This window comes from Homo sapiens, chromosome 6 (genome assembly GCF_000001405.40).
Source record: "Homo sapiens chromosome 6, GRCh38.p14 Primary Assembly".
Lineage (NCBI taxonomy): Eukaryota > Metazoa > Chordata > Mammalia > Primates > Hominidae > Homo > Homo sapiens.
In genome coordinates this window covers 6,175,560-6,192,016 of record NC_000006.12, presented here as the reverse complement: position 1 = coordinate 6,192,016, position 16,457 = coordinate 6,175,560, and the positions used below count along the sequence as shown (strand labels likewise).

General features: G+C 43.1%; 1 protein-coding gene across 1 annotated transcript in view, besides 1 other annotated feature; it reads left to right on the top strand.

Annotated features, from left to right (window-relative positions):
* Window positions 1-16,457, top strand: part of F13A1 (coagulation factor XIII A chain) — a 176,579-nt gene that overhangs the window by 128,646 nt on the left and 31,476 nt on the right. Inside the window, exon 11 of the mRNA NM_000129.4 lies at window positions 9,876-10,029. Coding sequence (NP_000120.2) covers window positions 9,876-10,029 — 154 coding nt within the window. The remainder of the gene's footprint in view (window positions 1-9,875; window positions 10,030-16,457) is intronic.
* Window positions 13,636-14,135: an enhancer, noted in NCBI's record as "H3K4me1 hESC enhancer chr6:6178115-6178614 (GRCh37/hg19 assembly coordinates)". NCBI's record gives its function as "activates a minimal SCP1, AML or CMV promoter by ChIP-STARR-seq in naive H9 embryonic stem cells {active_cell/tissue: H9 hESC(naive)}" and the evidence as "EXISTENCE:reporter gene assay evidence [ECO:0000049][PMID:30033119]".

Here is a 16,457-nt window from a genome sequence, read left to right as displayed (position 1 = left end):
GCTTTGTTCCCTCTCTGCATTCAAGTCTCTGCTCTGGTCACCTCTTCAAAGAGGCCTTCGCTCACCCAACTGCACCTAAAATATCACCATCTGCCCTGTTGTTTTCATCCTCCAACCTTAGTGTGTACTCCATTTCTCCCTTCTAGAATATGAGCTCCATGAAGGTAGAAGCTCTTGTAACCGCATTGCTGAGAGCAGGATCTAGGGTCCAGTGCCAGGAAGGCATTCACTGCCTCCATATGCCCTCTGAGAAGCAGCATTTTCTCTGCAGAGCCTGCAGACAAGGTTATCTCCACTTGGAAACAAATAAACAAACCAAAGCAAACTCTGTCCAGGGTCCTGAAAGCAAGAGCACGTCTCTAGCCTCAGTGGTGAAGAGCATATCTTCTGCCACCTGTGGACAAATGTTCACATTCTATGGGCCCAGGTGGACATTTGCAGAGAGCAGCCCCCAAGCCTGCTTTCCACCCCACCTTTACTGAGAAGCTAGGGCCCTGACCAATGGTAGAGGCTACTATGTAGGAAGTGCCTGTACTTAAGAGGCAAGGGTGTGGTGTTGTGAAAAAAATATCCAATTTCATGCACCAATGCCCAGATTTTGTGTGATGATAACCCTTCAAGTGTAGGGATAGAAAAAGGGGATCACTAACATTACATTCAAAAGAAGGAAGAAAAATTAGCCGTAAATGTAGGGCTTTCACAAGTAGTACCAATCTATCCACCAGCCCGACAAGGAAGGTAGGCTCAGAGAGATTCAGTAACTCGGAGGGAGGAGCCAAGATGGCTGAATAGGAACAGCTCCAGTCTACAGCTCCCAGCATGAGTGACGCAGAAGACTGGTGATTTCTGCATTTCCATCTGAGGTACCGGGTTCATCTCACTAGGGAGTGCCAGACAGTGGGCACAGGTCAGTGGGTGCACGCACCGTGCGCGAGCCAAAGCAGGGTGAGGCATTGCCTCACTCGGGAAGCACAAGGGGTCAGGGAGTTCCCTTTCCTAGTCAAAGAAAGGGGTGACGGATGGCACCTGGAAAATCGGGTCACTCACACCCAAATACTGCGCTTTTCCGACGGGCTTAAAAAACGGCGCACCACGAGATTATATCCCGCACCTGGCTCGGAGGGTCCTACGCCCACGGAGTCTCGCTGATTGCTAGCACAGCAGTCTGAGATCAAACTGCAAGGCGGCAGCGAGGCTGGGGGAGGGGCGCCCACCATTGCCCAGGCTTGCTTAGGTAAACAAAGCAGCCAGGAAGCTCGAACTGGGTGGAGCCCACCACAGCTCAAGGAGGCCTGCCTGCCTCTGTAGGCTCCACCTCTGGGGGCAGGGCACAGACAAACAAAAAGACAGCAGTAACCTCTGCAGACTTAAATGTCCCTGTCTGACAGCTTTGAAGAGAGCACTGGTTCTCCCAGCATGCAGCTGGAGATCTGAGAAGGGGCAGACTGCCTCCTCAAGTGGGTCCCTGACCCCTGACCCCCGAGCAGCCTAACTGGGAGGCACCCCCCAGCAGGGGAACACTGACACCTTACACAGCAGGGTATTCCAACAGACCTGCAGCTGAGGGTCCTGTCTGTTAGAAGGAAAACTAACAAACAGAAAGGACATCCACACCAAAAACCCATCTGTACATCACCATCATCAAAGACCAAAAGTAGATAAAACCACAAGGATGGGGAAAAAACAGAGCAGAAAAACTGGAAACTCTAGAAAGAAGAGCGCCTCTCCTCCTCCAAAGGAACGCAGTTCCTCACCAGCAAAGGAACAAAGCTGGACGGAGAACGACTTTGACGAGCTGAGAGAAGAAGGCTTCAGACGATCAAATTACTCTGAGCTACGGGAGGACATTCAAACCAAAGGCAAAGAAGTTGAAAACTTTGAAAAAAATTTAGAAGAATGTATAACTAGAATAACCAATACAGAGAAGTGCTTAAAGGAGCTGATGGAGCTGAAAAGCAAGGCTCAAGACCTACGTGAAGAATGCAGAAGCCTCAGGAGCCGATGCGATCAACTGGAAGAAAGGGTATCAGCGATGGAAAATGAAATGAAAGAAATGAAGCAAGATGGGAAGTTTAGAGAAAAAAGAATAAAAAGAAACCAGAAAAGCCTCCAAGAAATATGGGACTATGTGAAAAGACCAAATCTACGTCTCACTGGTGTACCTGAAAGTGATGGGGAGAATGGAACCAAGTTGGAAAACACTCTGCAGGATATTATCCAGGAGAACTTCCCCAATCTAGCAAGGCAGGCCAACATTCAGATTCAGGAAATACAGAGAACGCCACAAAGATACTCCTCGAGAAGAGCAACTCCAAGACACATAATTGTCAGATTCACCAAAGTTGAAATGAAGGAAAAAATGTTAAGGGCAGCCAGAGAGAAAGGTCGGGTTACCCTGAAAGGGAAGCCCATCAGACTAACAGCGGATCTCTCGGCAGAAACTCTACAAGCCAGAAGAGAGTGGGGGCCAATATTCAACATTCTTAAAGAAAAGAATTTTCAACCCAGAATTTCATATTCAGCCAAACTAAGCTTCATAAGTGAAGGAGAAATAAAATACTTTACAGACAAGCAAATGCTGAGAGATTTTGTCACCACCAGGCCTGCCCTAAAAGAGCTCCTGAAGGAAGCGCTAAACATGGAAAGGAACAACCGGTACCAGCCGCTGCAAAATCATGCCAAAATGTAAAGACCATCGAGACTAGGAAGAAACTGCATCAACTAACGAGCAAAATAACCAGCTAACATCATAATGACAGGATCAAATTCACACATGACAATATTAACTTTAAAGGTAAATGGACTAAATGCTCCAATTAAAAGACACAGACTGGCAAATTGGATAAAGAGTCAAGACCCTTCAGTGTGCTGTATTCAGGAAACCCATCTCACATGCAGAGACACACATAGGCTCAAAATAAAAGGATGGAGGAAGATCTACCAAGCAAATGGAAAACAAAAAAAGGCAGGGGTTGCAATCCTAGTCTCTGATAAAACAGACTTTAAACCAACAAAGATCAAAAGAGACAAAGAAGGCCATTACATAATGGTAAAGGGATCAATTCAACAAGAAGAGCTAACTATCCTAAATATATATGCACCCAATACAGGAGCACCCAGATTCATAAAGCAAGTTCTTAGAGACCTACAAAGAGACTTAGATTCCCACACATTAATAATGGGAGACTTTAACACCCCACTGTCAACATTAGACAGATCAACGAGACAGAAAGTCAACAAGGATACCCAGGAATTGAACTCAGCTCTGCACCAAGCGGACCTAATAGACATCTACAGAACTCTCCACCCCAAATCAACAGAATATACATTTTTTTCAGCACCACACCACACCTATTCCAAAATTGACCACATACTTGGAAGTAAAGCTCTCCTCAGCAAATGTAAAAGAACACAAATTATAACAAACTATCTCTCAGACCACAGTGCAATCAAACTAGAACTCAGGATTAAGAATCTCACTCAAAACCGCTCAACTACGTGGAAACTGAACAACCTGCTCCTGAATGACTACTGGGTACATAACGAAATGAAGGCAGAAATAAAGATGTTCTTTGAAACCAACGAGAACAAAGACACAACATACCAGAATCTCTGGGACACATTCAAAGCAGTGTGTAGAGGGAAATTTATAGCACTAAATGCCCACAAGAGAAAGCAGGAAAGATCCAAAATTGACACCCTAACATCACAATTAAAAGAACTAGAAAAGCAAGAGCAAACACATTCAAAAGCTAGCAGAAGGCAAGAAATAACTAAAATCAGAGCAGAACTGAAGGAATACAGACACAAAAAACCCTTCAAAAAATTAGTGAATCCAGGAGCTGGTTTTTTGAAAGAATCAACAAAACTGATAGACCGCAAGCAAGACCAATAAAGAAAAAAAGAGAGAAGAATCAAATAGACACAATAAAAAATGATAAAGGGGATATCACCACCGATCCCACAGAAATACAAAGTACCATCAGAGAGTACTACAAACACCTCTATGCAAATAAACTAGAAAATATAGAAGAAATGGATAAATTCCTCGACACATACACTCTCCCAAGACTAAACCAGGAAGAAGTTGAATCTCTGAATAGACCAATAACAGGATCTGAAATTGTGGCAATAATCAATAGCTTACCAACCAAAAAGAGTCCAGGACCAGATGGATTCACAGCCGAATTCTACCAGAGGTACAAGGAGGAACTGGTACCATTCCTTCTGAAACTATTCCAATCAATAGAAAAAGAGGGAATCCTCCCTAACTCATTTTATGAGGCCAGCATCATTCTGATACCAAAGCCAGGCAGAGACACAACAAAAAAAAGAGAATTTTAGACCAATATCCTTGATGAACATTGATGCAAAAATCCTCAATAAAATACTGGCAAACCAAATCCAGCAGCACATCAAAAAGCTTATTCACCATGATCAAGTGGGCTTCATCCCTGGGATGCAAGGCTGGTTCAATATACGCAAATCAATAAATGTAATCCAGCATATAAACAGAGCCAAAGACAAAAACCACATGATTATCTCAATAGATGCAGAAAAAGCCTTTGACAAAATTCAACAACCCTTCATGCTAAAAACTCTCAATAAATTAGGTATTGATGGGACGTATTTCAAAATAATAAGAGCTATCTATGACAAACCCACAGCCAATATCATACTGAATGGGCAAAAACTGGAAGCATTCCCTTTGAAAACTGGCACAAGACAGGGATGCCCTCTCTCACCACTCCTATTCAACATAGTGTTGGAAATTCTGGCCAGGGCAATTAGGCAGAAGGAAATAAAGGGTATTCAATTAGGAAAAGAGGAAGTGAAATTGTCCCTGTTTGCAGATGACATGATTGTATATCTAGAAAACCCCATTGTCTCAGCCCAAAAGCTCCTTAAGCTGATAAGCAACTTCAGCAAAGTCTCAGGATACAAAATCAATGTACAAAAATCACAAGCATTCTTATACACCAACAACAGACAAACAGAGAGCCAAATCATGAGTGAACTCCCATTCACAATTGCTTCAAAGAGAATAAAATACCTAGGAATCCAACTTACAAGGGATGTGAAGGACCTCTTCAAGGAGAACTACAAACCACTGCTCAAGGAAATAAAAGAGGATACAAACAAATGGAAGAATATTCCATGCTCATGGGTAGGAAGAATCAATATCGTGAAAATGGCCATACTGCCCAAGGTAATTTACAGATTCAATGCCATCCCCATCAAGCTACCAGTGACTTTCTTCACAGAATTGGAAAAAACTACTTTAAAGTTCATATGGAAGCAAAAAAAGAGCCTGCATCACCAAGTCAATCCTAAGCCAAAAGAACAAAGCTGGAGGCATCACACTACCTGACTTCAAACTATACTACAAGGCTACGGTCACCAAAACAGCATGGTACTGGTACCAAAATAGAGATATAGATCAATGGAACAGAACAGAGTCCTCAGAAATAATGCCGCATATCTACAACTATCTGATCTTTGACAAACCTGACAAAAACAAGCAATGGGGAAAGGATTCCCTATTTAATAAATGGTGCTGGGAAAACTGGCTAGCCATAGGTGGAAAGCTGAAACTGGATCCCTTCCTTACACCTTATACAAAAATCAATTCAAGATGGATTAAAGACTTAAACGTTAGACCTTATACCATAAAAACCCTAGAAGAAAACCTAGGCATTACCATTCAGGACATAGGCATGGGCAAGGACTTCATGTCTAAAACACCAAAAGCAATGGCAACAAAAGCCAAAATTGACAAATGGGATCTAATGAAACTCAAGAGCTTCTGCACAGCAAAAGAAACTACCATCAGAGTGAACAGGCAACCTACAGAATGGGAGAAAATTTTTGCAACCTACTCATCTGACAAAGGGCTAATATCCAGAATCTACAATGAACTCAAACAAATTTACAAGAAAAAAACAAACAACCCCATCAAAAAGTGGGTGAAGGACATGAACAGACACTTCTCAAAAGAAGACATTTATGCAGCCAAAAAACACATGAAAAAATGCTCACCATCACTGGCCATCAGAGAAATGCAAATCAAAACCACAATGAGATACCATCTCACACCAGTTAGAATGGCAATCATTAAAAAGTCAGGAAACAACAGGTGCTGGAGAGGATGTGGAGAAATAGGAACACTTTTACACTGTTGATGAGACTGTAAACTAGTTCAACCATTGTGGAAGTCAGTGTGGTGATTCCTCAGGGATCTAGAACTGGAAATACCATTTGAACCAGCCATCCCATTACTGGGTATATACCCAAAGGACTATAAATCATGCTGCTATAAAGACACATGCACACATATGTTTATTGCGGCATTATTCACAATAGCAAAGACTTGGAACCAACCCAAATGTCCAACAATGATAGACTGGATTAAGAAAATGTGGCACATATACACCATGGAATACTACGCAGCCATAAAAAATGATGAGTTCATGTCCTTTGTAGGGACATGGATGAAATTGGAAATCATCATTCTCAGTAAACTATCTCAAGAACCAAAAACCAAACACCGCATATTCTCACTCATAGGTGGGAATTGAACAATGAGATCACATCATCATTCTCAGTAAACTATCTCAAGAACCAAAAACCAAACACCGCATATTCTCACTCATAGGTGGGAATTGAACAATGAGATCACATGGACACAGGAAGGGGAATATCATCACACTTTGGGGACTGTTGTGGGGTGGGGGGAGGGGGGAGGGATAGCATAGGGAGATATACCTAATGCTAGATGACGAGTTAGTGGGTGCAGCGCACCAGCATGGCACATGTATACATATGTAACTAACCTGCACAATGTGCACATGTACCCTAGAACTTAAAGTATAATAAAAAAAAAAAAAGAGAGAGATTCAGTAACTCATCCAGAGCCACACAGCCTAAGTCCAATAATCCTTGCCATACACTCTGAACTTATCTATTGTTCTACCATAGAGCGTCAATTGATTTTGGGTGGGGCCAATCATTCCATGCTTTTTTAAGCTCCTAGATGATTCCCTAGTACAACCAGAATAGAGAACCATTCCACTACAGGCCGAAACCAAAAAGAAAGCTTGCTAATGTCGCTTGGAAAGAATAATTTCCCTCCACATCCCACCCCAACACACATATACAAAAGCCACCCCATACAGGTGTTTCTCGTCTCCTCTCTCCGCAAAGGACAGTGCTGTTGGTCTGTCCTGAGATTTCAGCCTACAGGAATTTCTGAAGCCATATTCAAGGTGGGGGGGCAGGAATCAGCCACTTTCATATTTTGCTTGTTTCCCTGGAAAACCACAAGCTGTTATAAGGATTGTTATTAAGAAGTTATTTATCATTATTGTTGCTACGATTTGAAAGTAGAGGGGGTCGCTGTTTGTACTTACATGGCTTCCTCCAGAGGGAATTCCCGAATTCTCAGACAGCTCATTTAAAGCTTCCAAAATGACAAATATTCCACAGGTATCTGCTGCGTCCTCTCCTGTCCTGATTCCTGACTTCACATTTCAGCCTTTCACAACATGTGGCTAGCACCCCTGAGTTCTGGCTGCTCTGCTGAGGGGCAGGGCCACCGTTTATCACCCTCAGAAATCTGAGCCGCAAGTGTGGAACCATCTCACCACTCAAGCTGGGGCTCATGCTCCCGCAGGGTGGTGTGGGAAAGGCGGTGTGCCGTGAAGGCCAAGGGCCAGGTTATGGGCTGTCCCAGGGCTTGAGCTGCTTCTCCAGCAGCTCCTAGCCATGAAACCACAAACACTTTGCCTCCCCCTTCTGAGTCTTGGTGCCCTCATCCATAATACGGTTACAATATATACCTCACAGGCTTGTTGTTGTGAGGTTCAAACTAAATCCTTTATAAAATGTCCCTGAAACATTGTAGGTATGCAACAAATGTTGGCTATCTCCCCCTTAGTAGAAATCCGACTTCATGTGCACTCAGAACATTCTGTGAGAAAGTAAAATTGCTCTCTTTAACCTCAACTTTAAAACCTAGGGATATATCTTCAAGTTTCCCCATTACCTAATGATGACTATTATATTTTTACTCAATTTTGAAATTTACAAGTCATGTTCACATAGATCTTATCTCACTCTGGCCTAAAATGCTCCCATAAAATTGGCAGAACAAATTTAATCATTTTTATTTTATAGAATCAGGAACTGAAGTTCATAGAGATTAACATGCACTTTCTACAAGGACACACCCACTATCGGAACCCAGGTTTCTTGCAGCAAATCTAGTATTCCTCTCAAATGCCATCTAGGTTTCACCTTGGCTGTTACTTTCTAGCCAACCCTTGACTCCACTGCCCCATGTGCTCCCAAAGTATCTTGTACTTATTCTTTCATGGTACTTATCGCACTGTATTGCAGGGCTTCTCAAGCCTGACTATCTAACAGAATTATGTGAGACTTTTTGTAAAATATAATGGATTTAGGGCCTCACGTGATTTAGGTCCCACCTCCTTAATCAGGCGTCTATTTTTGTTTAAAGTTCTCCAGGTGACTCTGATGCACAGAATCATGCTTACTAAAGCATAAACTCTCTAATGGCAGCAACCAAATCTATTTTGTTCATCATTAGGATTCTGAATCCTTAAACAATATCTGGCAATACTATTCAATATTATTATCAATAACATTTACTGAGCATTTACTCTATGCCAGACACTATGATAAGTAATGTGTGTGCATTTGTTTCTGTTAATTCTGCCAATCGTCCTATGAAGAAGGAGTTATTATCACCCTATTTAAAGAGTGGGTAACTGAGGCTTGGAGAGGAGCTTGGGAAACATTTAGTAAATACATCAATGACTATTAGCAGTACAATTCATGCTTCCTACCTGCTTCCATGATAATAACTGGAACCTTCAAGAAAGTGATTATAAAATATGTAATAAAGGACTCTGGTACAGTCAGCTTTCAGGCACACATTAGTCATTGTCTCTAGAAAGTAGAATAGTAAAGCAGAGCCTTGGGAGAGCTTGGGGGCAGACAGCATGGCCCCAAGACACTATTTCTGAGTCCCACAAATAGCACATTTTAGTTGCTGAACCAATAGAAAATAGCCTGAATTCCTCCTAGATCATCTAATATTATTGTTCAATTTAAATACTTTTGGCTTCAAGTAGCAGAACTAATGTGGCTGAAACAGATGGGGACTGATTTTCTCATATAAGAAATCCTGAAATAGGTGGTCCTGATGCGGGCTTAGCCATTTAACAGCATCATTAAGGCCCCCAAATCCCCAAACGCCTCTCAGCTTTCTACTCTGCCACCTTCTCATTGTCAGCAGTGTTTCTGTTCACTGTCTCACGATGGCCACAGCAGCTTCAAGCATCCCTTCACCTGAAAACACCTGAAAACAGCTGAAAGCAGAAGGGGAAGGACAAACTCATCCATGTACCTCTCTCCTTTTTCAAAGGGGAAAAATGTTTCCCAGAAGCCACCTAGCAGACTTCCTCTTCCTCCTGGCAGTAGGTCACATAGCCACAGTTAGCCCAAAAGAAGTCCAGGGAAGCAAGCGATGGGCATGGTGGCATGGCATTGTCTTCTCTCCTGTGAGAGGTAGGACTTATCACAAGGACAGAGGAGGGAGAAAAATGGTTGCTTCTTAGACAGTTTATTATCTCAGCCTCAAATAATCTTTATTTAAAGTACTACTAAATCAACTAGATTCGCCTTTAGAATATTTTCAAAACCTGTTTGGCCCTATGATACGAATCCAATGTTGTTGAAGAAAGGGGCATGTCAGCTCCAGAGATCTCTAGACGACTGCTCTATGGACAGTTAAAGACTTTGGCAACAGCAGACATGTGATGATGGCTAATGCTCTCCTCTCCTGTTTCCAGGTCAACAGCGACCTCATTTACATTACAGCTAAGAAAGATGGCACTCATGTGGTGGAAAATGTGGATGCCACCCACATTGGGAAATTAATTGTGACCAAACAAATTGGAGGAGATGGCATGATGGATATTACTGATACTTACAAATTCCAAGAAGGTAATTTACTACCACTGAATGAAGATTTATTTGCCCAAGTCCATTGAGTACTTATTCATTGTCACTCAGAGATGAGTTCCAGAGAATGCACTGGCATTTGCAGCATTTGGTAGCAACAGCAGAAGTATAAACTTTCACGTGTGAAAGACACGTCACATATGCAATTTTTCATTGTAGTTTTCTTTGCTAGCTTGCTTTGGGCAGAATTCTCATTCACGTGGCTTGTAAAATGATTTGGTTTAAAGTCATACCTAATTTAACAGAATATAGAATATGTTCTTGCTCACAAGAACCTTAATTTTAAATAATCCTATTAGAAAACACTGTATAACTAATGTAATTTTAGTCCAATAATAGAAATTAAAATAACTACTTCACATTTGTTTAGTACTTTACCAATTATTTCCACATACATTGTTCTATTACATTATCATGGAAGACTACAACGTAGATAATACAATATTAATAGGACAATGCAATCTCTCTAACTCAGGACAATTAGGTCGAAGGCCAGTTTCAATTCCAAAATAATGTCATGGTGGGTTTTTGTTAACTTTTATTGCATAGAATGTTTCAAATGGCACTACTGAGTTTAATTCTATCTCAATCAATGCTTAGTGTCCGCTCTATGCCTGCAATTGGTTTGGTGCTGGCGATTCCAGCAGTGAGCAGGACTCAGTTCCTGTCCTGGTCCGAGTGACAGGATTATTGTGCAGAGGGGTCTTTGGAAACAATAAGTAGGGGCATTTAGTCCAACTGATTCAGAAAAAGACTTGAGAAGAGAAGTCGTGGACCTCGGTTAAAGAAGCTGGACAGGGGTTTCCAGACAGTGTGAACATGACCAAAGTTACAGGGCGTGCAGCAGCCCGGTATGTTTAGGGGGATCCTGCAGGCTCAGAATGCCCAGTGACTGAAGACAAAGCTGCCCGAGGCCAGCAGTGGCCAGAACTGGAGGACCGTGAGTGTCCTGATGGGGAACATGCAACATATTTTGCAAATGATTCACTGCCAGAGGTTCTTAGGAGTATTTATTTTTAGTAAATGGATAAAAATGACAAGTAATTAGCATATACCTAAATATTCATTGGAATCCATGAAGTGCTAAGGAGTGCAGAATTTATTTTAAATAGTTTAGACAGTCTCCCTGCTCTTATTTACAAAAGTAATTTGCACTACAAAGAAGAAGCTTGCTGAATTGAGAACACTTGTGCATAGTCTCAGAAAGTCAGAATTTTTGTTATCTGAACTAGTGAATTTTCACTGTATTTTTTAAATGCTTCATTTTCCTCTTCTGTTGGTTATCATCCATTGCACAACACAGATACAAAGGTGGTATTTTTTTGTCATTTGGATTTTTCCTTAAAGGAAAATTTAAAACAATATAAGTGCAAATAAAACAAAACAAACAAGCAATGCCCTCTTACTGTAGAGTTATAAGCAAAAAAAGGTTTGGAGAAACAAAAAAGCAAGTTCATAGAAAAGTTAGCTGCAACATCCACTCATTCATACATACATCCACACGACAGCTGGCTCTTACCATCTGCCATCTTCCAGTGCTGTGTAGAGCTGGATACATGTACAGCCCTGCCTTCCCATGCAGCTGGGGAGAAAAGCAGAAGGCAGCCCTCACTGTGCTGGGTGAGAATTGCTCTGGCACAGGGTGGACGGGTGCTGCCGGGCACAGAGAAAGGCTCTCAGCCAAGAATCGGCAGTTGGGGAAGACCTCGTGGAGGAAGTTAGTGATGGGCTCACTAAGCCCAAAGGACACACAAGAATTGGCAGATGAAGCTGGGGAAAGAGGTCCCCAAGAAAAGGCAGTAAGGCAAGGACTGTGGTGAGAACTCTCGTATTTGGAAGAAGTCCTGACCAGACAGAGTAGTGAAGAAAAGTTGCACCTACAGGCAGCTAGGGGCAGCAGGAAGCGAGCTGTCCACATGACAGATGTCTCTTGGAAACCATGGAGCCGAGCACAGCTGCCATTAGCTGTCAGCATGGAGGTGACAGTGAAGGCCAACTCAGGAATGGGACAGAATCAGATGCCACGAGAGGAAAGACTAAAACCCAGTCCACGAAACAGGAGTCAGGGGCTTGGCTGGGGGTGGATAACAAATTAAAACAAAATGTGTCCGCACTGCATGAGGAAGACATCTGAGGTCCAGGCCTCTAGAGTTTAGCAAGGAGGCAAGGCTGAGGGAGAGGGACAGTGTGGAGGTCTGGTCCAACTAGAAGAATCCCTAAATCCACATAGATGGTTGTAAGCGACGACTCATCCTGCTTCGGGGCTGGAGTTTGACCCCAAGTGGATAGTTTCTTAATCAAGGGTGGCATACACATTTCAAACTGGAACTTTGGAAGTGACCAAGTAGAATGTTGTTTTGAGAAGAACACCAAGACTGCATCTGAATGTGGCGGGTAGAAGGATTGATGGCCGCCATTGGCCACTGGCATGCAGTGAGGACTCGTCATATCCGTGGCTCAGTACTTACCACCCTGATTCTCACCGTTGAATCTCTTATAATTTCTCTGATCCACAAATGCTGAGTGTAGATACCAAAATATGGAAATGAGTAGAATCACAGGAAACAAATTATTACTAGATTTAGGACTTAACTATTTTAATGAATTAAATCATGGAAAGATCAGGTTCACTTCAACTTACTAAAGCTTATTATTAACTTTATAACTTTTTTCAAGATATATAATTAAGAAACGATAAGACTTTGAAAATCAGAATTTCTGAAGACTTCTCCTGTGGCAATATATCTTCTTTGATAACAGTGTCTTGATTCCATTCCCTCTTTGCTCCTTCAGTTACTTCCAGGGTCACTGTTATTTCCACCTCTCCCTCTCTATTTTCTCCTTCCAATCAGCATTTAAGCAGGCTCAAATATCTGCTGTGTTAAAAACAAAAATTACAAAAATCTTTTTCACCACTGTCTCTTCCTCCTCGCCTCCTTGCCGTCCTGGAGCGCTGCCTGGACTTGCGTCCTGCTGTGTTCCTTCTCCACTCCTTCCGCGCACACTCTGTCCTGATTTCTGCTACCAGCACTTCCTTGAAGTTGTTCTCAAGGTTGCCAAGACCACCCAATTGTCACAGGGAAGAAACATTTTGCAGACTTCAGCTTACTTGACCTTCCTATACTTCCTGGTGCTGTTGTTCACTCCCTTTGCTTGCAATTCTGTCTTTTCTTTGTTTCTACAATGTTACTTTCTCCTGGTTCCACCCCCTCCTGCCTGACCCTCTTTTCCTACCTCTTTTTGACTATAAGCTTTTCCCCTTTCTTCACCCTTTTCAAATTCCATTTCATTCTAGGCATCTATCCTTGGGCTCCATTCCCACCCACCTGATGTTCTTCCCACATAGCTGGTGTTAATGTTCACATATGTACCATCACCCCATGTCTGTGTCTCCACCGGGACTTTACCTAAATGTCCTACAGAAACCTGACACGGAACTTCCCAAATGACACCTCTCACTCTCTCCCTCACCTCAGGTCCGTTTCTCCCACTCCCCCTACTCTGGTGAAGAGAACCACCATCCACTCAAATTTAGCTACTTAAGAATGAGTTAAGCAACAAATCCTCTAAATGTCCCCTCTGAAATTGTTCTCGAATGCATCCCCTCCCCTCCAGCTCTGTAGCCTAAAAATTAAATATTATCTGGTGTGTACAACTCTTAATATAGTGCCTGACACATAATAAGTGTCCAATAAAAGTTTCCCCTATTACTAGTAATTCTGTTATTCCTGCCATACTACTGCTATTAGTTTGGGCTATGATTAGTTTTCTCCTGGAAAAATACTTGCTCTAGCTTCCCAATTCCACCTCACCTCCTCAGGCCCTCCTTCCCTCAGTCTAGCCCCTGCCTTGCTGCCAAAGTAATATCTGAAATATAAACCTGAGCCTCTCCCAGCACTGCTTAAAAGCCCCACCCCCCCCCCCCTCTCCCTGTGGCCTCCAGGGCATCCAGTCCTAACTCACAAAGCCTCTTGCTAAGTGGCTTTTCGGCACCTGGTCACTGCACCTCCTGAGCATGCCCCCACAGGTATTGTATGCAGAGGCCAGGGACCTGCCAGCAGTTCCTCCAACAAGCCAAGCCCCCCACCTGCATCCCTGGTCTTGCCCTCGCTCCAAAAACTCCGAGAGGCCTCCCATGCCCCTTCCTTTCCCCATGCACTGCAGGCCAACCTCCGTCCCAGCATCTGTGGTGAGCACCTGTGTGCTGCCATTGCTCTTCACGTGTTCCTTCTGCACCAGTGAGGGAAAGACTGTTTCTCCTCTGTGCCTAGTGCCTAGCACGGTGTTTGGAACATTATGGGGTTTCCAACAGCATGAGATGATTTGAATGAATGGTTACTGGGGAGGCACTTTCACAGCTAGGCTTAGTTGAACATAAAATGTCCTAAACTGGACTATTATGAAGAGGAAAGTTTTGTCTCTGGCTGAAAGCAAAATGCTTCTCCAAACCTCAATCCTTCAGATCCTCTGTGCCAGGCTGGGTTTCAGGGCCTGGGGATGCAGAGGTGGACAACATGTCTCTGTTCTCATGGAGCTTGCATTCCAGCAAGGAAGATAATGTCACACAGTAACTAGTACTGTGACAAGGAAGAGGAAATAAAACCAGGTATGTGTTAGGGAGAGCCGAGAACACTAGGGTTTGAGGACACATTACACAAGGTAAGAGGGGGAGGACAGGGGAGGTGACAGTGGAGCTAAAGCCAGAAGAATGAGAGGCTTCGTCCAACATAAAAGGGCTCTCTTATTACATCCTAGTTAATGGAAAGATATTTTTGACTTTGCACCCAGAGGCTGCAGAAGAATCTCAGAAAATATAATCTGGCTTTGGATATGTCTCTCACTGCACTAAAATGTTGCCTGTGGCCCTGAATTATGTAAGATGCCAGAGCACGCAGCATAACTGTAGAGAAACAGGAATTACTCTGCCAGGCTCTGGGAAAGCCGTGCAGTTGTTTTCTCCTCTCTGGGCCTGCGCTTCCTGGAACAGCCCCAGCCTGCTTCTGTTTGGCGGTCTCCGCTCACAGAGGACAGTGCTTCCCCAGAAGGAAGCTCCAGGTTCCTGCACCCATGGCAGGCTGTGAAGTTGCTTGTGGCTGGCTTCAAGGCTTCTTCTCCCATTCACCTCACCTTGGCCAGCTCAGCTCCTCTCTGATGTGTTCCTGATGCTCGAATTTCCCTCCTGCATTTTGCCTCAATGCATCTCTGGCCCGCATCCAAAGTGATCATCATTAATGTTCTCTTCTCATGGATCTATTGGCCAGATGATTTCTGCTAAAAGATTTCACTGCACTTCCCTTGTCCTCACTCCTCCTTCCCTTTTTCTTACCTCCCTCCGAGTGCTCTAGCTGATGCTTGTCCTAGACCAACTGTTCCTGGCACATTCTTGCAGTCTTGACAATCAGGGAAATCGTTAATACACACACACACTACACATTCACATTCGTATGCAATGCCTTCTGGCATTTTTTCTGTCTTTGCAGAGTAGCTTCCATTTATTATATATCTACTTCCTCTAATTCACCTAATAAACCTAGGATGTAGACACCCTTATTTTACAAACAAGGAAAGTGATGGTAATAATAGTGTCTGTCTTATAGTGTTGTTATGAGGATTAAATGACACAATGCATCATAAGCACTTATGCCAGTGCTTGGCACAGAGCTAGCCCTCAGTGAGGGTTCTGATGATTCATTGACCTCTCAGTCACCATTGCATTTTATTATTAACTAGATAAAGTAGAAGACAATACCTTTAAACTAGCATAATTATAAAAGCTAGGATTCTTATTTTAAAGTGATTTTTTTTTCACTAGCCATTCTCAAGCCTAGTTTTTACAAGCCAAGGAATTTGCCTTCATCTTCTCATCTCTATCCTTAGGGATACACAAAGATAAACCCAAAGGTATTTAGGATGGAAAAGAGGATGATGACCATCCCTCACATCTGCATGAGCCCTGTTTCCAAGCCAAAGCCTTTTGTCCAAGGCTCTGTAAGGACCGTTCTCCCACCTTCCCAGTGTCTGAGGCATAAGCTCCTTCTGAGGCCTGACTTGTATCTGTATTTTCTGCCTCATCACTTAGACAAAGCTATGTTTTTCTTCTTCTGGAGGTTACCCTCCTCTTTTTCCTCCCTTCATCTCCACCACAACCACTTTGCAAACCCTGCACAAAACATTTTCCTAAAAGCAGCACACACACCTCGAACTGCATTAGAACTTAGGTGCACCACCGCCTGTCAACAGATGTCCCTCAAAAAACTGCCCTCCGTGTCAGATGAGTTTGGGAAACCTTGTGTAAAGAAAGGCAAAGAGGTGTCCTTGCTGCTGGGCTTCACTTAGAACCTCTAATTTGCTAATTAAGGTGGAGAACATCTCCAGGAGGCGCTGGACAACTAGGGCATCTCCAAGGGATC